General features: G+C 54.5%; 2 protein-coding genes across 2 annotated transcripts in view, besides 4 other annotated features; one reads left to right on the top strand and one right to left on the bottom strand.

Moving 5' to 3' along the window:
* LRRC37A2 (leucine rich repeat containing 37 member A2) overlaps positions 1-21,347 on the bottom strand; it is a 676,337-nt gene that overhangs the window by 219,862 nt on the left and 435,128 nt on the right. The window lies entirely within an intron of this gene.
* Positions 8,933-9,520: an enhancer, noted in NCBI's record as "H3K27ac-H3K4me1 hESC enhancer chr17:44897113-44897700 (GRCh37/hg19 assembly coordinates)". NCBI's record gives its function as "activates a minimal SCP1, AML or CMV promoter by ChIP-STARR-seq in naive and primed H9 embryonic stem cells {active_cell/tissue: H9 hESC(naive and primed)}" and the evidence as "EXISTENCE:reporter gene assay evidence [ECO:0000049][PMID:30033119]".
* Positions 10,575-21,347, top strand: part of WNT3 (Wnt family member 3) — a 56,187-nt gene continuing 45,414 nt past the window's right edge. Inside the window, exon 1 of the mRNA NM_030753.5 lies at positions 10,575-10,749. Within this exon, the coding sequence (NP_110380.1) occupies positions 10,670-10,749 (80 nt within the window). The 5' untranslated portion in view covers positions 10,575-10,669. The remainder of the gene's footprint in view (positions 10,750-21,347) is intronic.
* Positions 13,917-14,821: an enhancer, noted in NCBI's record as "H3K4me1 hESC enhancer chr17:44891812-44892716 (GRCh37/hg19 assembly coordinates)". NCBI's record gives its function as "activates a minimal SCP1, AML or CMV promoter by ChIP-STARR-seq in primed H9 embryonic stem cells {active_cell/tissue: H9 hESC(primed)}" and the evidence as "EXISTENCE:reporter gene assay evidence [ECO:0000049][PMID:30033119]".
* Positions 19,095-19,622: an enhancer, noted in NCBI's record as "H3K4me1 hESC enhancer chr17:44887011-44887538 (GRCh37/hg19 assembly coordinates)". NCBI's record gives its function as "activates a minimal SCP1, AML or CMV promoter by ChIP-STARR-seq in primed H9 embryonic stem cells {active_cell/tissue: H9 hESC(primed)}" and the evidence as "EXISTENCE:reporter gene assay evidence [ECO:0000049][PMID:30033119]".
* Positions 19,623-20,152: an enhancer, noted in NCBI's record as "H3K4me1 hESC enhancer chr17:44886481-44887010 (GRCh37/hg19 assembly coordinates)". NCBI's record gives its function as "activates a minimal SCP1, AML or CMV promoter by ChIP-STARR-seq in primed H9 embryonic stem cells {active_cell/tissue: H9 hESC(primed)}" and the evidence as "EXISTENCE:reporter gene assay evidence [ECO:0000049][PMID:30033119]".

Here is a 21,347-nt window from a genome sequence, read left to right as displayed (position 1 = left end):
GAATCTGGGAGGCTGAGGTTGCAGTGAGCCAAGATTGCTCCATTGCACTCCAGCCTGGGTGACAAGAGTGAAACTCTGTCTAAAAAAAAAAATTGAAATATAATTTGCACACCATAAAAAAATCACCATTTTAAAGTGCACAATTCAGTAGCTTCCAGTATATTGAAAAAGTTGTGCAACCTTCACCACTAATTCCAAAACATTTTCATGAACCTCAAACCCATCAGCAGTCAAGTTGCAGCCTCTTTAGGAAAATGCAAAGGCAGCACTGGGCAGAACTACATTCTTTCTGTTTGTTTGTTTTGTTTTTGTTTTTGAGACAGGGTCTCACTCTGTCACACAGGTTGGAGTGCAGTGGCTCACTGCAACCTCTGCCTCTTGGGCTCAAGCGATTCTCCAGCCTCAGCCTCCTGAGTAGCTGGGACTACAGGCACGAGCCACCAACACCTGGCAATTCTTTTTTTTTTTTTTGTAGAGATAGGGTTTCACCAAGTTGCCCAGTCTGGTCTCAAACTCCTGAGCTCAAAGCAATCTGCCTGCCTTGGCCTCCCAAAGTGCTGGAAATACAGGCATGAGCCACCGTGCCCGACCTGGGCAGAACTACATTCTGGATGCATCTTAAACCTCACCTCAACCCTACACCCTCCCTTTTGTTGTTTCCTTTCTCCCCACAAGTCATCTCAGAATGAGGCTCCCAGCTCCAGGCTCCAGTTGCAACCTCACCCCCACCTAGACAAACCCTCAAATCAAGAAAAAGAAGCCCTGGCAGGGCGTGGTGACTCATGCCTGTAATCCCAGCACTGTGGGAGGCTGAGGTGGATGGATCGCTTGAGCTCAGGAGTTCAAGACCACCCTGGCTGGGCAACATGATGGAACCCCATCTCTACCAAAAATTTTAAAAAATTAGCTTGTTGTGGTGGTGTATGCCTGTAGTCCCAGCTCCTTGGGAAGCTGAGGTGAGAGGATCATTAGATCCTGGGAGATGGAGGTCGCACTGAGCCAAAATTGTGCTGCTGCACTCCAGTCTGAGTGACAGAGTGAGACGCTGTCTCAAAAAAAGAGAAAAGAAAAAGAAATCCAAAGGAAAAAAAGAGAGAGACAGAGAGAAAGGAAAAGAGAAAAGAAAAGAAATTTCTGTTGGCCAGGCCCGGTGGCTCATACCTGTAATTCCAGCACTTTGGGATAGGCCGAGGTGGGCGGATCATGAGGTCGGCGGATCATGAGGTCAGCGGATCGAGACCATCCTGGCTAACATGGTGAAACCCCGTCTCTACTAAAAATAAAAAAAAATCAGCTGGGCGTGGTGGTGGGTGCCTGTAGTCCCAGCTACTTGGGAGGCTGAGGCAGGGGAATGGTGTGAACCTGGGGCGCGGAGCTTGCAGTGAGCCGAGATTGCACCACTGCACTCCAGCCTGGGAGACAGAGCAAGACTCTGCCTCAAAAAAAAAAAAAAGAAAGAAATTTCTGTCTCAAAAAAAGAGAAAAGAAAAGAAAAAGAAATCCTAACACTCATCCATCCTTAAGTAAAAGCAACTCACCTTGTAAGTCAGTCTCCACATTTAATCCAACTACCCTACACTAGACATGATGGGTGAGGAGGATACAGATAGTTAGGAGGCCTTTGGCTACAAGTAACAGCCTCAAGTGGGCTAACGAACAAGGAAAATGTATTATTTCATATCACAAGAAGTTCCAAAGCAGGACTCCTCTGAAGGCAGTTAGTGTCTCAGCAATGGTGTCAGAGATGAAGTTTGTTTCTCTCTCTTGGCTCTGTCTTCCTCTGCCGGTCAGCTTCATCTTCAGGCAGCTTTCCTCATAGTCACAGAATGGCTGCTGCAGCTCCAGGTATCCCAACCCAAAACAACAATGTCCAAAAGCAGGGAAAAGATATTTCTTACTGTGTGTCATTTTAAGAGCCCCAAAAACTCTTCCCAGAAACCTTCTTGCACCCTTCAGCTGACCTCCCTCAGGCACATGTCACCCAGTTTAGGCCAATCCCTGGCAAGCAGAATGGGTCCCCGTGATTGACTTAGATCAGTCAGGATTTACCTCTGAGCAAGGTAGGGGAGGAGTAAAGACCAGAACAAACTGGGGGCCTCTGCCATCCTGGAGGAAGGGACCACCAGCAGTGTGAGCTACACTAAATCTAAACAGAAGCCTGTCTTCCAGAAGTTCAAAAACAGCAGCTGAGGCTGGGCATGGTGGCTCATGCCTGTAATCCCAACACTCTGGGAAGCTGAGGTGGGTGGATCATTTGAGGTCAGGAGTTCAAGACCAGCCTGGCCAACATGGTGAAATTCTATCTCTATTAAAACTACAAAAATTATCCAGGCGTGGTAGCTTGCATCTGTAGTCCCAGCTAGGAGGACTGAGGCAGCAGAATCATTTGAACCCAGGAGGCAGAGGTTGCAGGTTGCAGTGAGACAAGATCACTCCAGCCTGGGTGATAGAGCGAGACTTCATCTCAAAAAAAAAAAAAAAAAAAGAGCAGCTGATTGCCACAGAGGGAGGGAGTGGATGCTCACCGATCATTTTACATGTCCCAGGTGCCATTTCAAACACAGCAGCTATCACTCTGCTGAATAGGCAATTGTCTTTTTGAGACAAGTGTTATTATACCCATTTTGCAGTTGATGAAGCAGGTACAGAGAGGTTAGATAATATGCTCAGTGTCACATAGTAAGAGGCAGAGCTGGGATTCACTGGGGTTGTGGTAGACCTGGGCTCTAACGCAACCACTCAGAGAGGATTTCCCAGTCAGACATGTGAATCCCCATTCAGGCCTTATCTAGAAGCCAAGACAAAGGTGCATAAGAGGTGGGTCCTGCTGGGATGTGGGAAATGCCAGGCAGATGTCCCTGCTTAGCCCAAGGGCCCTCCAACGTCTGTGCCAGCTGTGCCTAGGCCCTTGCCAGTGAGGCAGCTGTGACCCCATTCCCAGCCCACTGGGCCTCCATCCATGTGATTAGGCTCCCAGGACTCAGGGCCCATAGCTGGCCACCCTGAGGTCCCAGCAATGACAGCTACTGGCCATACTGGTCTGTGGAGAAGGTGGTTAGTTGGCAGAGTTCTGGAAGGTGCAAACCAGGACTTCACTAGAAATTTCTTCACCATCTCCAAGGATATTATCAGGCTTGTTCTATTCTATCTCCCTAATGTGCCCCCACAAAAGTCTTCCCCGCAAGACCCCTGAGATGGAGAGAACTTCCACACCTCTGTTTTGTTTCGTTTTGTTTTGTTTTCTTGAGACAGTTTAGCTCTTGTTGCCGAGGCTGGAGTGCAGTGGCACGGTCTTGGCTCACCGCAACCTCCGCCTCCTGGATTCAAGTGATTCTCCTGCCTCAGCCTCCCAAGTAGCTGGGATTACAGGCATGCGCCACCATGCCCAGCTAATTTTGTATTTTTAGTAGAGACAGGGTTTTGCCACATTGGCCAGGCTGGTTTCAAACCCCTGACCTCAGGTGATCCGCCCACCTCGGCCTCCCAAAGTGCTGGGATTATAGGCATGAGCCACCATGCCTGGCCTGGTTTTGTTTTTTAAGGAAACATTTACGTATTTGGTCCTCTGATGAATGACTGTCCCCAGCAGATGGCAAGTTCCTTGCAGGCCAAAACCTGGGCTGCTTTTGCTCATCAGTGCTCAGCTGCCAAGGGGCAGCTGCACACAGAGTTGCTCCATGAAGATGCGTTGAAGAAATGGACCAGGTGAAATTCACAGAGCACCTACTGTGTGCATCAACCGGAGCTGGGTTATAAGGAAGAAGGCAGACTCCTTGAGGGTAGTCCCATTCCTCGTGGAGCCTTGTCCACAGCAGGCATGCAGTCAATGTGTGCGATGAGAAATACAGACACTTTCCGCCCTCAGAGCCCAGGCGGAAGGTGGGGGCCCATCGTGACTAAGGTTGGAGACAGAAGAGACCAAAGATGGCTCCAAGCCCCTCCTGGGTTGCAACCAGGGCTCCCTCCCCTTCCCTGCCTGCTTATGTCCCATACACAGGGGAGTGGAAGGAAAACTCAGGAGCTCTAGTTCCAGGTGACTGAGAGAAACCGTGGCAGCCACACACAGAGGTCTGGCTCTAACTCCTCAGGTAGGATCACAGCCATGCTAGGAGCTGGCCTTGGGTTAGAGCCCCAAAAGCCTTGGGCAGGCCAGCCATGTCCAGGGATGGGGCTCAGGGTTATGAGGCAATGGCAGAATAAAGGGGCACAGAGGGAGGCTGAAGAGAAAGAAAGGGAAGGAGAAAGAGGTGTGGCACATGGCTGGAGAGGCAGCACGAGGGGCCACCAAGCCCCAGATGCCCCCATGTGGCAGTGACTTCCCAACAGGCTGCCCACCCTTAATCTCATCCCACTGGAGGCAGCACAGGGTCCTATGAAAGGGACACAGGAACCAAGCGACAGAGCAGGGTAGCTGGGGTGGGTTGGAGTTGTAGGGGCCAGGGCCACTCAAGATAGGGGCACTGAGGACCCTGAGGGGCCACAGGGAGCCCAGACCTGAGTCAGTGGCCCTTCTATCTGAGACCTCGGCCCTGCCTGCTCCCTCTCCTCTGGGCCCATCATCAACAGTGTTTTCGAGGGGCTGCTAAGTGCTGGATCCCTCACCACTGGGGGTTCAGCAGTCTTGTGGAGGGAGTTTCTTTGTGGAGATTTCACAGTTGGAGACGGACAACATATGCAAGAAACTGAGCAGATATGTCTGCTATGTAGTATGTATAATCAGCCGGGCATGGGGGCTTACGCCTGTAATCCCAGCACTTTGGGAGGCCAAGGCGGGCGTACCACCTGAGGTCAGGAGTTCAAGACCAGCCTGGCCAACATGGTGAAACACTGTCTCTACCAAAAATACAAAAATTAGCCAGGCATGGTGGCGAGCGCCTGTAATCTCAGCTACTTGGGAGGCTGAGACAAGAGAATCACTTGAACCCAGGAGGTGGATGCTGCAGTGAGCCAAGATCACACCACTGCATGCCAGCCTGAGCGACAGAGCAAGACACCGTCTCAAAAAAATAATAATATGTGTAATCACATATTAATCACATCAGTGTCAGGGCTATGCTGGAAAATAAAGCTGAATAAGAGGCCTGACAGGACAGGGCTAGGGAGTGGCAAGGGGTCTGGAGGGGCCTCTCTGAAGTGGATATTTTGAAGTGGGTCTTGGAAGGGGACATCAGACAACATTATCCCGGATAAATCCTTCTGGAGAAGGCTCCTGGGCGCCTGAAGGGGGACTGCTTAGCAGACACTGACTGGGGCAGGAAGAGAGACCTGAGAGAGAGGCTTACTCCTTGCCTCAAGAGAAGAAGGAAACCCAATATTTTGTATTCACCATCCGCAGTCTGGCATTCCGTCAGCACCATTCTCATTTAACGCTGACAGCTCCCTACAAGGTGGAAAGTGTTATCTCCACTCCACAACCGAAGCCAGGGACTCAGAGATGACAGGCAACCGGCCAGTGCCCCCACCCCACCCCATTCCCTCCCTTCTAAAGGACTTTCACCGCAAATCGCTTTCCAAAATGCTCTGGGGAGGCCAGGCATGGTGGCTTGCACCTGTAATCCCAGCACTTTGGGAGACCAAGATGGGTGGGTCATTTGAGGTCAGGAGTTCAAGACCAGCTTGGCTAACATGGCGAAACCCTGTCTCTACCAAAAAAACACAAATTAGCTGGGTATGGTGGTGCATGCTTGTAATCCCAGCTACTTGAGCGGCGGAGGCAGGAGAACCACTTGAATATGGGGAGGTGGAGGTTGCAGTGAGCCGAGACTGCACCACTGTACTCCAGCCTGGGCGACACAGTGAGACTCTGTCTTAAAAATATAGGTCAGGAGTTCGAGACCAGCCTGGCCAACACGGTGAAACCCTGTCTCTACTAAAAATACAAAAAATTAGTCAGGCGTGGTGGCGGGCACATGTAATCCCAGCTGCTTGGGAGGCTGAGGCAGGAGAATCGCTTGAACCTGGGAGGCAGAGGTTGCAGTGAGTCGAGACCGCGCCATTGCACTACAGCCTGGGCAACAAGAATGAAATTCCACCTTTCTATATATATAATATATAATATATTATATATAAATATATATAATATATTATATATAAATATATAATATATAATATATAAATATATATAATATAATATATATAATATATAATATATAATATATGTGTTTATTATATAATACATATTTATTATAAATACATATTTATTATAAATACATATTTATTATAAATACATATTTATTATAAATACATATTTATTATAAATACATATATATATAAATACATAAAACTGAATGCCCTGGGGAGCTAGAGCTAAGACAGGAGGAACTACTGCCACAGGGAGAACCTCTCAGGTGCCCACAGCGGCCCCTGTGATCTCGGGATCCAGGAAGAACTGGTGACATCCGCCTGCCGCTGGCAGCCTCCCATATGTCAGCGGAAGAGGGAGGCATCCGCAGGGTGGATCTGGCGGTGCCCCAGTGCGCCCTGGACCGGCATCACCTGGGCCCGCTCGCCCTCCGCCTGTCTGGAGAGGAGAGGGGAGCCTGAAGCCATGCACCCCTTATCCCCAGCTAAGCTCCGGGATTGCGAGGTAGATTAAGGGCATTCACTCAGGAGGGCACCTGCTTAACCAAGATCCTCCGAAATCCGGGCTGCTCACCAGCAACAATTGAGGATGCCGGGCCCGCAGGGAGCGGAGTGGGACCAGGCGCGACCCCTTCCTCGCCTGCTGACCTCCCGCCTTGCTATCAGCACTGCCGCCAGGGGGCGCGCCCGCGCCGCTGGGCTCTGAGCCGACCTCCGCGTGCACCTGCGCTCCTTTGTGTGTTAGATTAACATCTGGTGCTTACCTACTATGCGCTTACTCGGTGCAGGTCAGGGGCTTCCTGCATTTCCAGGATGCAGCCTCTATGCCAGCAAACTAGGCTGGGCAGTGGAAAGAAATCCGATTTACTCCTGCGCCCACCACCCACGCTAGGGCCTTCCTGCTTCCAGGCTCTGCTGTCCAGCCTTCCAGTGGCCTCTAGGGAGCTCGCCTAAAACCGCTCTGCGGTTCCTACAGCTCCTAGGAGAAAGTTAAACGCCCTCCTCTCCAGGTCAGAGGCCTTGGAGCCCCCTATGTGCTCCCTTTGCACTGTTCCTCCATAAGCCCTGTGGTGTTAGGCCTTCGGCCCTTCGCACTTCCCCACCTGCTTCCCCGCTGCAACGGCTTCGCCTCTCCCTTTACCCCCCCAGGTTGGTCCGGCTCCCGACTCCCGCCTGGCAGCCCCAAGACCTGTTTCAAGCAAAAATGAATGGCACAGTGCCTGGATCGGAGATTTCCTCCTCCTTCCCCGCGACAGACGGGTAGCCCCATGAGGGCGGGCGGGGGCCTGGCCACCGGATTCTTTGTCTACACGGTGCCTCCGCAGGGGGTCCAGTGGAGCCTCACTGAATACACAGCGGCAGACTCTGAGCCCCGGGGGAGTGCACATCAAAAGGAACCTCCGAGCCAGCTAGAGAGAGGGGTTGGGTTGGGACTGGGGTCCCCTTCCCAGGTCTAAGGTCCCACACATTCACACACACAACAAAAAGTGCTTCCCACGTGCCACCCCATGTCCCCAGGTCCCTGGCCCTTGCTGCCTCTTCTGCCCTCTTCCAAGAGACCACCCTTCCTTTCAGGGCGATGGCCTCCTGGTCCACCGGCTGATGCCTCCACCCCGCCCTCCCTTCCTGGTCTTGGAGTGAATTTAACCCTTTCTCCACCAAGTGAAACCACCCTGGGGCTTGGGGTACCTGTTAGAGAGAGGGTGTTTCTATCTGTGATGTGTGGTCAGGGGCGCCCGCCCTCCCCTGAGAGAAACCATTCCTGCGTTTCCACCCGCGGCAGCGCAAGGGGTGCAGGAGGAAGGAAATTAAACCTGTGTTGAAGGAAGGACACCTGGGGGAAAGGAAGGGACTCAGGCTCCCCTTGTCTGAGGAGCTTTCAAGTGGCGGAAATCCCCACACACACCTCCATTCACTAGGGGCCTGGCAGGGCCGCTGGTAGGTTCCAGTCCTCTCCTCTGTCACTTCCCAGGCGCACATGGCCAGCTCCTAGATTCCACCCTTCAACCCACTTGTTTCCTGCCTGATGCACATGACCTGCGTCTGAGTTCTCCAGGCTGCCTGGAGGAGGCATTCAGGTACACATGACCCCTCAGGGAATGATGTTCTTGCCCACAGCACCCAGGATGCTGGCTGGGCATATCTCAGCCAACACACACTCCCACCGACAGCCTCGGATCTTTTGCTCCCACCTCACAGGGTTGGCACCTGTGGAGTCTTGAGGCCCAGTAATGACCCCAAGAAGCCATCAAGTCCAGGCCCTGTCGCCCCACCATACTGCATCCACAGTGGTGTCTGAGTGGCCAGGGAAGGTAGCCCTCCCCAGCTCTCAGCACCACTGTCATGGGGCTCTGGAACTCCCGAGCCCTTGGGCAGGACTCCAGCAGGCAGCTCTGATCAGAAAGCCACCTGGGAGCCCTGTGGGTGGGACAGGACTCCAGGTAGGACCTAGCAGGCCTCCATCCAAGAGGGAGGTATGTGGAAAGCTCTCCACTGCCAGAGCCTTGGTCCTGAGGCTCTGCATTCATGGCAATGGTAACCCTCTTTCCAGGTGAATCAGAAACAGGGCACCCCAGAATCAGCCCAGCCATGAGGAGCATCTCTAGGGATCCCCATCTCTGCAGCCCCCACCAGGTTCACCACTCCTGGTCAGGTTCACGATTTTTCTTCGCCTTGCAGCTCCTTGGTGCTCTCCGCCTCCCCCCTGCCCCTTTCTTCCTCACACCGGTGGCTCAGCCTCCCCCCGACAGTTTTCTTGGTTTCTGTCTCAGCGTCTCTCTCATCTCTGAGCCCCTCTCTCTCTCTCCTCCTCTCGGATTCTCCTTTTCCTCCCCTTCCTTCCTCTCTTTCAACCTCCCCTCCCACCCCCTCCAGTCCAGCAATGGGCTGGGAACGCAGCAGGAGCCATGACAAGCCCAGGCGGCTCTCCCGACCCTTGGTGCCCCCGAGGCCATTTCCCCGCGCTCCCTGTGCCGGCAGCAGCCGCGTGCGGAGAGGGCTCGCCGACCAGAAGGGGCAGCAGGTTGGAGCTGTGGGTACGGGGGGCTCAGATCAAAGGCCAGGAATGTCTGGCCCCCTGGCGTAAGACTTCCTTCAGCCATGGCCCTCACCTCGTGGAACGCCCGCCGTTCCAGGCCTCTGTGGGACTCGGGTCGGCTCATTCTCTGCCCTTTCTGCCACAGTTCCCTACACAGCGGTCCCTGCTCCCCACCGGCAGTGCTTCCTTCACCCCAGACCGGGGCTGCGCAGAGTCCTGGTGCCTCAGGTGGCCTGGGAGGGGGCCTAGGGAAAGGCACCCAGGTGACCGGGCGTGAGTCCCCAAAACCTGACCATGATGTCAATACCACCCAGGGCTGAGACCTAATTCCTCGCTCTGGAGAGGGAGAGGAGAGGAAGCAAGCCCGAAGGGGGCCTGGAAGGACTCCTTTCCTGTGGGGAGGGGTGGGTAACTGGAGGCATTTGGTGTCCGCACAGGGCAAGGGCCTTTATCGCCAAACCCCAGGCTGGAGCTCCCTATCAGTAGAACCGGGGCCTCAGGCGGGACGGTCGGGCAGTGAGGGGCGCTCCGGAGGGCAGCAAGGTCTTCCAAGGACCTGGGCCGCCCTCGGCCAGAGCTGCGCGTTTCACCGGTCCCTGATGGTCCAACCGAGAATCCCACTGAGGCTGTGGGTCACGCCTCCGACCCGGGCCAGAGGTCGGGCCTGAACCCCTCAAGGAGGAGAAAGTGACCCGACTCCGAGAGCAGGAAATGCGACTGGCCGCTGGTGTCAGTTGCAGGAAATGCAAAGGCAGCAGGAGGTCCCGATACCGATCTGATCCCTGACAAAAGACTCAAATGACACTCGGCTCCGTCCCCCGGCGCCGCCCGCAGCCAGACCTTCGAGCCTCCGCGGACTTTTCCGCACGTTCCTCGGACACCCGGGAAGTGACCTCCCGCGGCCAGGACGAGAGGCCAGAGAGCGGGCGGACTCGGGAGGCTGGAAGCTGGGAGGGGGTGCGTTCCCCCACCCTCTGATCCTGACCTGCCCGAGCGGGGCTTCTGGAAACATCCCTGTGCTTTCTACCCTCGATTCCTCGCGGGCCCACGTCCCAACGGGTCACGGTCCCCGCCAGCAAAGGAGCCACCCGTTCATGCCCACGCCAAGCCCTCGCCATGTGAACGCCCGGGTCAAAGCCCCCGCGCCCTAACCCTGGCCAGCGGGGGACCGCGGCGGTAGCAGAGGGTCCGGCCCACCGCGTCCCCCCGAAGCCCCGCGGCGTCCGGGGCGCGGGCTTTGCCCAAGTTTGCTGGGCGATGCCCTTCCCGGAGCCCGAGTTGTGGGCCGGGCGGGAGGGGCGCGTGATTGACAGGCTGAACTACAGACTCATCTCTTACCTTAGGCCGCGGGCGCTGATTGGCTGCTCGCTGACATCCTCAAACCCGGCTGCTCCGCGCTGGGCTCGGGAGGGGGGCGGCTGCGGGTGGAGGTGCGCTTCTGACAAGCCCGAAAGTCATTTCCAATCTCAAGTGGACTTTGTTCCAACTATTGGGGGCGTCGCTCCCCCTCTTCATGGTCGCGGGCAAACTTCCTCCTCGGCGCCTCTTCTAATGGAGCCCCACCTGCTCGGGCTGCTCCTCGGCCTCCTGCTCGGTGGCACCAGGGTCCTCGCTGGCTACCCAATTTGGTGGTAAGACTCGCCTCTTGTCTGCCCGCGGCCCGGTTTCTCCGCCGCGTCCGGGGAAGGTGGGGGCGCCGGCTGGGGGTGGGCCGCTGCAGGGCTGGGGCTCCTCTCCTCGCCTCCCTCCAGCCCCCCACCCGCCCACCCCTCCTGGATTTTCTGCTGGTGTCGCCTTCAGAATCCAACTCCTGGCTCCTCTGATAATCACCATTTTCCCTGCTCCCCGCTGCAGGGGCTGGAGGACTTTTCCCATCTCAGAAGGTTTCTTATTCTTAGATCCTAACCCTCTGCCCGTCCCAATCTAGAGGCCCCCGAAGACCCCCCATTTGCTTGCAGTTGGGTTTCTGGAAATCCAGCACTGTCCCTGGGGCCCAGCCACTCCTCTTCTCCATTTTGGGGTCTTCATGGGCAAAACCATCCTGTTCCTTCACTGCCACCCCACCTCTGCCGGCGCCTCCATCAAGAGATTCCCCATAATAACCCCCCTTTGCCTTCCTATTTCAGACCCCAAAGGCTTCAGGGCTCCTCCCGGGGCAGGGGAGTGGGTGGGGGGATTTCATCAGATTCTCCCCACCGCTCTAGATTCATCTTGAGCCTCTGAAGTGAATATGGTATTTGCTGATCCGGGATGCCATTGAATTCGGATTTTATTCATTTCTTGCTTGTCCACCCTGGCAAAAGGGGGGTTCCTTGAAAATGTGTTGTCTGGGAGGGGTAGGCTTGTTGTTCTTTGACCAAAAATCCAATTCTCCATGTCACATTTCTTCCTTTTGGAAAACCGAGGACCGAGGAGAAAGGGAGAGGGAAGGGAGAATTCCGTCCCTGAGAAATGTGGATACAAAAGACATTTTAGTAAATAAGACTGGGAAGCCGGGAGCAGTGCTTGGGGGGGGCTGTGCGTGTCTGGGGGGCCTGGGTGAGGAATAAACATCGCTTTGGGAGCCCCAGCTCCAGGAGTCCCCTTGTTTTCCGAGCGGCCCCATCGCCGCTCTCCCACCCTCCGCAGGTCCCAGGGGCCAGAGGGGAAGACACTGAAACCAGTTCTCTAAATTACACTCCGCCTCTCCCCAGTCTCCAGCCCCCTACATTCCGGAAAACTTTAATTAAAGAATCTTCCCCTCCTGGACATAGGAGAGCCTTGGCCTGGGCGGGGGGAGGTGAGGAGGAAGAATTTGGGATCTGTGAGTGAGAAGTGGGCTGTGGCCCCCGGGGTGAAAGTCAGAAAGAAGTGCCACCACGGTGCGGTACCGCCTGCAGGTCCCCAGACTCCCTGCCTTTCGCCAACCCAGAGTCCAGGGTAGGAGGAGCAGAGACAGCGAGACTTGGGGGCCACACCCCGAGTCTTCCAGTTGTTTGGGGATGGCAGCATTTGTGTCTGGGTGTTTGGGGCTCCTGGGAGAGAGGGTGGGGACATGGCCAAGGGTCTCTGTTTAGAGGGTGCTAGGAGTTGCTCCCAGGACAGCCAGCCAAGGGGAAGTCTTTCTTCTGCCCAACCCACACTTTTCCGGGGGGCTGGGCTAACCTGAGGCTTCCAGCACATAAAGAAGTCCATGGGGTGGCCAGGGCAGCCAGGGACTTCAGGAAGGAGGTTCGGCCAGTCTGGGGAAAGGCTGCTGCCAACACCAGTCCAGCCTCACCCGGCCATTCCTGACCCTCTTCCCATTCCCGGGCCAAGGCCATGCCGTTTTTCGCCTTGCTTTCGCAGAGACTCTGGTGGGTTGGGGGAGGGTAGGAAGGAAAGGTTTGGCGGCCCATAGGTGGCAGGGACTGAGGAAGAGAGACCAGTCTCTCCGGCCCTATGAACTAGAAGAGGGCACTCTTCCAGTTGGTGTAGATTCTGGTGTGAAATGGTATCTTGGGGACCATCTAGATAGGGATTGCCCAATAGGAAGAAACGCTGGGGAAACCTGGAAGGTCAAGACATTGGCCCTAACATAATGCTAGACACATGGCTTGTTTGGGAATTTGGTGGGGGACAGGAATGCTGCTTTGTCTAAGCCAAGGAGAGAGGTGTGTGTGTGTGTGTGTGTGTGTGTGTGTGTGTGTGTGTGCGTGTGTTCTGGGTCTATGACCCTAAGAGGTGTTTTCTATACACCAGTGTGTCTCTGTGTGCAAAAGTGTTTGTGCCTGCAACTGGGCTACTATGGATGTGAAATCGTGTGGGCGTGTTGGGGGATCCATGCCCACGACAGGTTGTGCTGTGTGTGTCTGCACACGAGTGTGAGCAAGTGGCTGGTGCTGTGATGTGTGTATGTACATGTGTAAGAGACAGAGAGAAGTCTAGAAGTATCTTTGCCCATGTAAAGGTCAGAGCCTGTGTCTGCCTGTGACGCTGGGCTTGACTGTGTTCATGACTGGGCATGTGAGTGTGTGTGTGCGTGCGTGCGTGTGTGTGAGTGTGTGTGTGTGTGTGTACGTGCGCGCGCATGCCTTCATGACAGTGTGGGGAAAGCCCCACAGATGTCTTTGTGCATGAATATCAGTGCTCATGGCCATGACCTGATTGTGCTTGTAAGGAGGAGAGTGAGCCTCAAGTCCATAGCTGTGTGAGGGCTGTGTCTGAGTCCGCCTGTGATCCTGTCCCCAGGTGCTGGGCCCAGGGCTGTGTGGCTGTGAATATCTTTGCAGACATCTACCTGTGGGTATGAATGACACCTGAGCTTGGGTGTTTGGTGGGCAGCCATGGGCCTGGAGGGAAGGTCCAACAGGAAGCAAAAGTCTCACAAGGTGGCTGCAGGGGGCACAGCTGGCCAGGGATGGCAAGCTAGAGAGGCAGGGGCACAGGCTTCCTTGACACCAGCTTGTCCTGTCTGTCCAGGCACTAGAGTCACTGGCCCTTCTCTCTGAGGTTGTTTTTCTTTGGTCTTGGAGCTGGGGTGGAGGGTGAGTCACCTTCTCAGGGTTAGGGCTGGGGCTGTAGGGTAGATGGGCCTCTGATTCCTGATCCCATTTCTGCCCCCACTCCCCAACCCAGCCCCCCGCCTGGCAGTCAGATTCCAGTACTTTGAGCATCTAAGCCCATCTTGGCCTGCCCTCTTTGGCCCACCCAGCTCATGCATTCCCCAGGAAGGATTTACAGGGGAAGTCATGTAGCTGGGATTTCTGTCCACGCGGACCCTCAAGCATGACACCCTGAGTCCACACTGCTCAGACCCCAGTCCTGACAGAAGGTTGACCAGAAGGGACAGCTCTAAGGGGCCTCAGACTGACACCCCTGGAAGGAAGAGATGTTCTCCAGGTAGTGACAGAGCCGGGACAGGAAACAACAGCACTGATTTCTCGAATTCCCCTTGTCAGTCCCAGTTAGCTCCTGGTGGAGAAACTTGTCTTTCTTCTTCTTCTTGGGGGCGCTGGGGTGGGGGGATGAACCTATGTTATTAGGGCCTAGCCCAGCACCTGCTACATTCCAGCGATGGACGTGCAGATGGAGGGGGCCTGCTGGAGATCAGGAGCTCACCCTGCCGCTGTGTGACTGAGGACCAGTGGCCACCCATCTGGGTCTGCTTCCTTACACTTCACCCAGGAGTCCCCAGCCTGCCCTGCCTCACAGCTTGGGTGAAAATGTTTTGCAGAGGACAAGGGCAGTGAGCTGGGAAATAGCACACCTGAGTTCTCGCCATCCCAGGACCCATCCTCCCACTCGAGCACCTGCCTAAGACCTACCTCAGTTTCCCCATCTGTCAGATGTCCTGCTGCCTCTCCCACCCACTCCCACCTCCACCCACCTTTCAGAGGCTTGTGAACATGTTCAGTCAAACCCCGTGGGGGTCAGTGGGCTGGGCCCAGGGAGGCACCTGGAGACTGCGGGGGAGGAAGGCCCCAGGCCAGGTGTTAACACTTGTAACAGGCAGGAATTACAGCTCGCTGGGGCTGGGCTGGCTGGGGCTGGTGAGGAGCTGAGCTAGCTGGAGGCTGTTGATCCCACAGACAGACAGACAGACAGACAGATGGGCAGATACCAGATCGGATGGCCAGGCTTTAACCGGGTGGTCTCCCTTCCAGGGCAGACCTTTCCCTGGGGGGGATATGGCGGGGAAATTAGTCCAGGTCTCTTGGAAGTTAACAGCCCTCCCGCTCACCCCGCCCCCATTATGGGTGGGGCTTCGGAGTCCAGAGGGAGCAAAATTGGTGGCCGATCTGTTGGTATTCTTCCGATAGGATCACATTTTGCTTAAAAAGAAGAAAACAGGTCAAACGTTATAATAATACCAAGAGCCTGAGCTGAGTTATGTCCTTAGAAGAACCTGCTGTAATATGTATGTGGATGGCATGGGGGAAGGGGACGCTCTCAGGGAAAGTTCTAGACTCTCAGAGCATTTTGTCAACAGCTCCGGGGCCAAGAGGTGAGAGATGGGTGGAGTCTGAGTATCACCCCCACCTCCACCCCAGGGATCCTGAGGGCTTGGGTCTGTGATGTCTGCCCTGCAATTAATCCTGGCCTGGTGGGAAGACCTTTGGCGATGAGGTCAAAAGAGGCAGGAGCTGGACTTTGGTGCCAAGTCCTTTAGGAGGTGCTTGCTGCAGCTTCACCAGTGGCAAACCCAGCCAGGCCCTACCAGGGCCCACACTCTGGCATCTGGATACATGCTCAGTCACTGACAAAGGTGGAGAAACTGAGGCAGACAGCGAGGGCTCTGGGTGGAAATCTCCAAAGAATGCACTCAGCCTAGCAAGCATCTCTCATCCTCCTCACTACAGAACTTAATGCTAATAAACATTAATGGTACTTGGGCAGATGTAGAATTGGAAGAAGTCTCTCCTTGGTCTGGGCAGGAGACAAGGAGCCAGGGGATAAGGAGCCAGGGGATGGCACAGGAAAGGTGACTTATCACAGAGGAGGATGCAGCTAACAAACCCTTCCAGGGAAAAGGAAGTGGGAAAAAGGAAGATTTTTCTGGTCTCAGAATGTGATGAGCCAGGAGTTGAGCAGAACCTTTTCCACCTACCCTGATGTGAGCCACAGAAACCTTCTCCAGCTGCCAAGGAGGGCAAGACATCCTCCACCCCTCATTCCTAACTCAGGGAGGAGGTATGCCTAGCCCCACCCCCACCCCCCGCCAAAGGTTAGAGCCATCCTGATATTACATCTGTACATCCATGTTATCTTGTATGCTGGAAAATGGTGAGAGTGGGGAGATGGAGAGACCTATGTCTGAATTCCAAGTTTAATACCAATGGACCCTGTGACCTAGGATGAGTCCCTTCCCTTCTCTGGGCTTCATTCAAGTCCCTGCCTCCTTCTGGGCTTCATTTTCCTTAACCACATGGAGGGGTCCCTTTTGCCTCTCAGAGTCCCAGGGCTATGACAGGTTCTGGGCTCGTTGCTGTGAAGCATGACACTCTACTGCACACATTCCGGGCCTGTATTAGACAGTCCACCCGTTTCTTTCTGTGGCTCCATCTGACCTAAATCGCAAAGAGCTGGCTGCCCCACTCCTGCCAAGCCAACCTGCTTGCACTTCCAAACCTCGCCCCAAACACTCCCACTCTTCTGGAGCCAGGCCATCTGCATTCACATCTGGCTTTTTCATGTACTACCTGGGTAACTAGGGCAAGTTAACCTCTGCAAGCCTCAGTTTCCTCATCTGTAAAATGAGTGTAATGATTGCCTCTATTTCATAGGGTTTTGAAAATGATTGAGTGAATACTTCTTAGAATGATACCTTGCATACAGGAAGCATATCGATGTTAGCTATTTTCACCTCCTATCTGCAAGCTATTGGCTCACTGAAGCCCTGGAGCCAAACTTGCCTCTTCCAAGAAGCCCTCCCAGATTTGCCCCACCTGGCTCTGTTTTCCCCTTTTCTTCTTTTTGCCTGTTTGCCCCACAGTGCTTTAGCTTTATTCTTAAGTTGAGGGTGCTGGGCCAGGCTAATCTCACTTCAGCTCTTTACCTGCTCAGGAAGGGGAGGGCAGGGTAGAGAAGGTTGCTGGAGTGTCCCCTAATCATTCCCCGACCCCCAGAGTCTGCCAGACTCTTGCTGGGACCTAGAGCCAGGGGGCTGGGCACAGAAGGGGTGGGGGAGGCAGGCTTCCCAGGGGGAGTGGCACCAGGGCCGCCCAGAGCAGCCTGAGCAGAAGTTGCTTCTCTAGGAGCTGAGAGATGATTCAGAAGGTGATTTATAGTCGGAAGGCAGAAAGCTTGGCTCCTGGCAGAAGCTGCTGCTTAATTACATTCTTGGGGCGGGGGTAGGGGGGTGGAGGTATGTGTGGGGAGGCAGCAGGGGCCAGACTTCTGCCTCCTCCCCATCCAGGCCCTCCCTGTCCCTTTGGCTGTCCCGGCTCTAAGCAGGGTCCTTCTTTATCCCGCTGCCAGAGAGGGAATTCCCTGCTCTCAGTGAGAGGCTAGGCCAGGATTGCAGGAATAGCTTCTGGGAGTGGAGAAGGTGGGAAAAGAGGAAGGAAGCTGGATCCCATCTCCCGGGACTTCTCCAAGGGAGACTGGATGGCGACGGGCTGGAAAACGGGCCTTCTGGGAAGGAGCACTGGGTCTCCTCCCTGCTTCTGGGCAGCGGAATAGCTAAGGCACCTGGGCAGAGTTGAGTTTCTTTCTTTCTTTCTTTTTTTCTTGAAACAGAGCCTTGCTCTGTCGCCCAGGCTGGAGTGCAGTGGCACAATCTTGGCTCACTGCAACTTCTGCCTCCCGAGTTCAAGCAATTCTCCTGCCTCAGCCTCCCGAGTAGCTGGGATTACAGGTGCGCACCAGGATGCCTGGCTAATATTTGAATTTTTTAGTAGAGATGGGGGTTTCACCATGTTGGCCAGGCTGGTCTCGAACTCCCGACCTCAGGTAATCCACCCGCCTCGGCCTCCCAAAGTGCTGGGATTATAGGCGTGAGCCACCGCACCCAGCCAGAGTTTCTAGAATCTTCTGAGAGGCAACTCCACGCTCTCCTTCGGGCACCCTGTCCTGCTGCTGCCTGGGAGGGCCTGCCTGCAGGTTTGCTCCTTTTCTGTTGCTCAGGTCTCAGTGGGCCATGGGGGCTGGAGAGAAGGTCCTGCGCTCAGAGGCTGAAACCCGGTTCTTCAGCGTTAGGCAGCCTGTCCCTCGTGAGCACAGTGGCTACCCCAGGTGCACAACGGTTCTGCCAGCAGGCACGGCCCCATACCCTCATGTCAAACTAATATCTCAGAGAGTCACCCCAATGCCGCTGGGTGCAGCTACAATCACTTCCGCGCCATTGACAGGAGCCCCCATTCTGTTTCCATACCTGCTGAGTTGACATCAGCATTTCCCATATTAACACTGACCCATGCAACAACCCGCCCGATGACACCTAAGGCCGCTTAGTTCCCTGCATCGCAGCCGTGAATCCCAAATCCCTCACTGCTAGTTCTTAAGGCTGGAAAGGTGTAGGGCGGGCAGGGGTAGAGTTGCTGAAGCCAGTAGTGTCGATTTATCTGTTTGCAGCCTGGCCTGTACAGCCGGGAGGAGTTGGCAGGGGTCAGGATGGGGACACTAGACAGCTCTCTGGTTCCCCCTGAGGCGGGCCTTCTCAAAATGGCCTCATTATGTGTGTGGAGTGAATTCCAGAAATGTCAGGCACACCCATACATCTAGGGAATGAAGGAGATGCCAGAGCGGGCTCTGGGGCGAGAGGGGCCAGTGTGAGGAGGTGGGCGGCTTCCGGGCAGGGAGTTAGGGCACCTGAGACCTGGCTCTGCCACCATCTTGATATTAGGCAACTTCCTGAACTGTTCTGAGTCTCAGTAACTAGGAGAGTTGGATAAGCTGCTGGCCAAAGACTTCCAGCTCCGAGATTGCAGTCATGGAGGCTGTATTCCGCGTTCAGGTCACCCAGCTATTTGGACCATCTGTGCCTGGTGGAGGGGGTGGTCACTGAAAGCTGGTCTCAGGGAAGGGTGGGGGGTGCAGAGCTCTAAACTCTACACACAAAGAGCTGTGAGACAGTGGATGAGTCTCCTCCCTCCCTCAGTTTTCTCATCTGCAAATTGGATGATGATAATAACACGACCACCTGCCCTGCCTGCTTGCAGGGCCGTGAAGAGCTTCAGGTGGAATAATCTTTGTGGGCATGCCCCGTGACCAGTTGGCCTCAGACCTGAGGCCTCTGTGCCCTCTGCCAGGGGCTCTCCATTGAGCATCAGGACCCCTACAGGAAGGAGCTGAGGACTCCTTCCTGAGGACACTTGGGAAGTGTCAGGTTCTTTCCAGAGAAGTTAACTATCACTGTGAGTCCTAGAAAAGAGGAATAAGAAGGCTGGGCATGGGGCTTACGCCTGTAATCCCAGCACTTTGGGAGGCCGAGGCGGGTGGATCACCTGAGGTCAGGAGTTTGAGGCCTGCTTGGCCAACATGGTGAAACCCTGTCTCTACTAAAAATACAAAAAATTAGCTGGGCGTGGTGGTGGGAGCCTGTAATCCCAGCTACTCGGAAGGCTGAGGCAGGAGAATCGCTTGAACCTGGGAGGCGGAGGTTGCAGTGAGCCGAGATTGCACCACTGCCTTCCAGCCTGGGCAACAAGACCAACACTCTGTCTCAAAAAAAAAAAAAAAAAAAGAAAGAAAGAAAAGAGGAGAGGAATAAGAGCTAGTCCCTGCTCAGACAGTGCTAAGAATGGACCTAAGAGCCCCCCTGAGCCTCTGAGCTTGAGGAGTTGATATTTCCAGCAGAGGAAGAAGTGGGGCTGGACAGGGGAGTCCTCAGCTCCTTCCTGTAGGGGTCCTGATGCTCACTGGAGAGCCCCTGGGAGAGGGCACAGAGGCCTCAGGTCTGAAGCCAACTGGTCACGGGGCATACCCAGGTTCACAGCTCAGGGCATGGGGCTTGGTTATCCTCCTGGCCTAATGCAAAAACCACTGGCCAGACCCAGAGTGAGATTTCCAACCAGGGACACATGGGAAGATGTAGGTGGAGGTGAGGGGGGCGAGGGCAAAGGGCTGCCAGCTGGAAGGGGCTCTGCTGAGGCCTGTAGTCATCAGGGAATCCTAATGGCCTGGGTAAGGCCTAGCAAACTAGGAGACAGGCACAAGCCATTCCCTCCAGCTCGGCTGGAAAAACTGCGAGGACTGAGTGTGTGTACGTGTGTGTTGGGGAGGGGGATGGGAGCAACAGGACCAAGCACCCAGGTCTGTCTGGAAGACCTTTCTGGGAAACCTGCCCCTGGGCACAGAGTCCCACTTATCTGCCAGAGCCAGCTGGGCCGGCAAGGAAAACCAATCTCGCAGGGCCCATTAGGAATGCAAATAGGGCTTGTGCTGTGAGTGAGCAGGATCCCGCCTCCTCTCCAGCTCCCACCAATCATCTTCACAAGGTGGATTGCTGAGGGTGCCACTCCCCTGCTCTGACACCTCCCATGGCTCCCCTCTTCCTATCTGGTACTGAGGCTCCCTATGATTTCACTTCTGTCCACCTGCGCAGTTGTAACTTTCACAAACCCCCTCGATCCCCCCAATAACCCACTTCAACTGGAATACTCACCTCTTTGCTTGTTCATTGAAATACTTCCACCTCCTCTCTCTGACTTTAAAAGGCAGCCCAACCTGGGGCCTGTTGACCTGGGGTCAGTCTGCTCTGCGCTGCTCAGCTCGGACCCCACTTGGCTCAGGTCATGTAGCTAACAGCCCTGAACTATGGAGGGTCCTTAGAGGGTCTCTCAAGGTGGATGGGCCCCTCGACCTGAGCAGGCTGCTGTCCCAGGAGTGGAGATGAGCCTTTTCTCCACAGTGTCAATTCCCCTGGGTTTCTTTTTCTTTTTTTTTAATCCCAGTTCCACTTGTAAACGTTTCCTATTTGTGTACTATTTCCCCCTCCATGTTCACCAGTTCACACGATGCTTAAGTGTCTAAGTCATTAATTTTAAGATTGCAATTGGCAGAAGTTGTTTCTCTATCTAGGAACAGGTTAATACGTTTGTTGACCATGTGCTATGTGCTGATCCCCATGCAGACATCATGATTTATCTGAATCTAATTCTTGCCAGTTTATAGATAGGGAGTCCCACAGTGCAGCCTGGGCATGGCATGGGAAGCCCTGAGCCCACACCCTGTTGGACCTAAAGCCTTTTTCCTTCTACCACCATTCAGGCTCAGTTGTGGACTTGTTATTGGGGTAAAAATTTGCTTGTTCATATTCTACTTTGTTCCCCAAAGGATGGTTTTGAGACAAGTTTACACTTGACCTTCCACTCAAAGGCTGATGCTTTGGGCTTATAGATACTATTTGTGAACGTCTGGGAAGTCTCTTATTTGGGGATGTGTCCTCTTCACTGGCCACCTTTCCACAAGCCATCAGGCTGTCCTCAAGCTGGGATTGCACAGTTGCTGACAGCAGTGGCCATGTGAGGATTTTGTTGCCCCTGGGATGGGTAAGGGGCGACCTTGATCAAATCACTGCCTCCCGGGCCTCAGTTTCCTCATCTGTGAAACAGAAAGGGTAGCGTAAATGACCTCTCAGATTCCTTCCAGCACTAAGCTCTTTCCTTCTACTTAGTCCTTTTTGCTGCTTTGCATCTGGTCTCCATCATATACGTGCTAGAAAGCAGCTGGGCAGAATCTTCTTTCTTGCCCTAGTCCAATTCTTGTGTTGGTATCTCTGAAACAGCCAATTGTTCATTTCACTTTTACAATTCGACCTTCAGCTTTA

The sequence above is a fragment of the Homo sapiens genome, chromosome 17 (genome assembly GCF_000001405.40).
Source record: "Homo sapiens chromosome 17, GRCh38.p14 Primary Assembly".
Lineage (NCBI taxonomy): Eukaryota > Metazoa > Chordata > Mammalia > Primates > Hominidae > Homo > Homo sapiens.
Note: the sequence above shows the minus strand (reverse complement) of the source record. Positions and strands in the feature narration are given on the sequence as shown.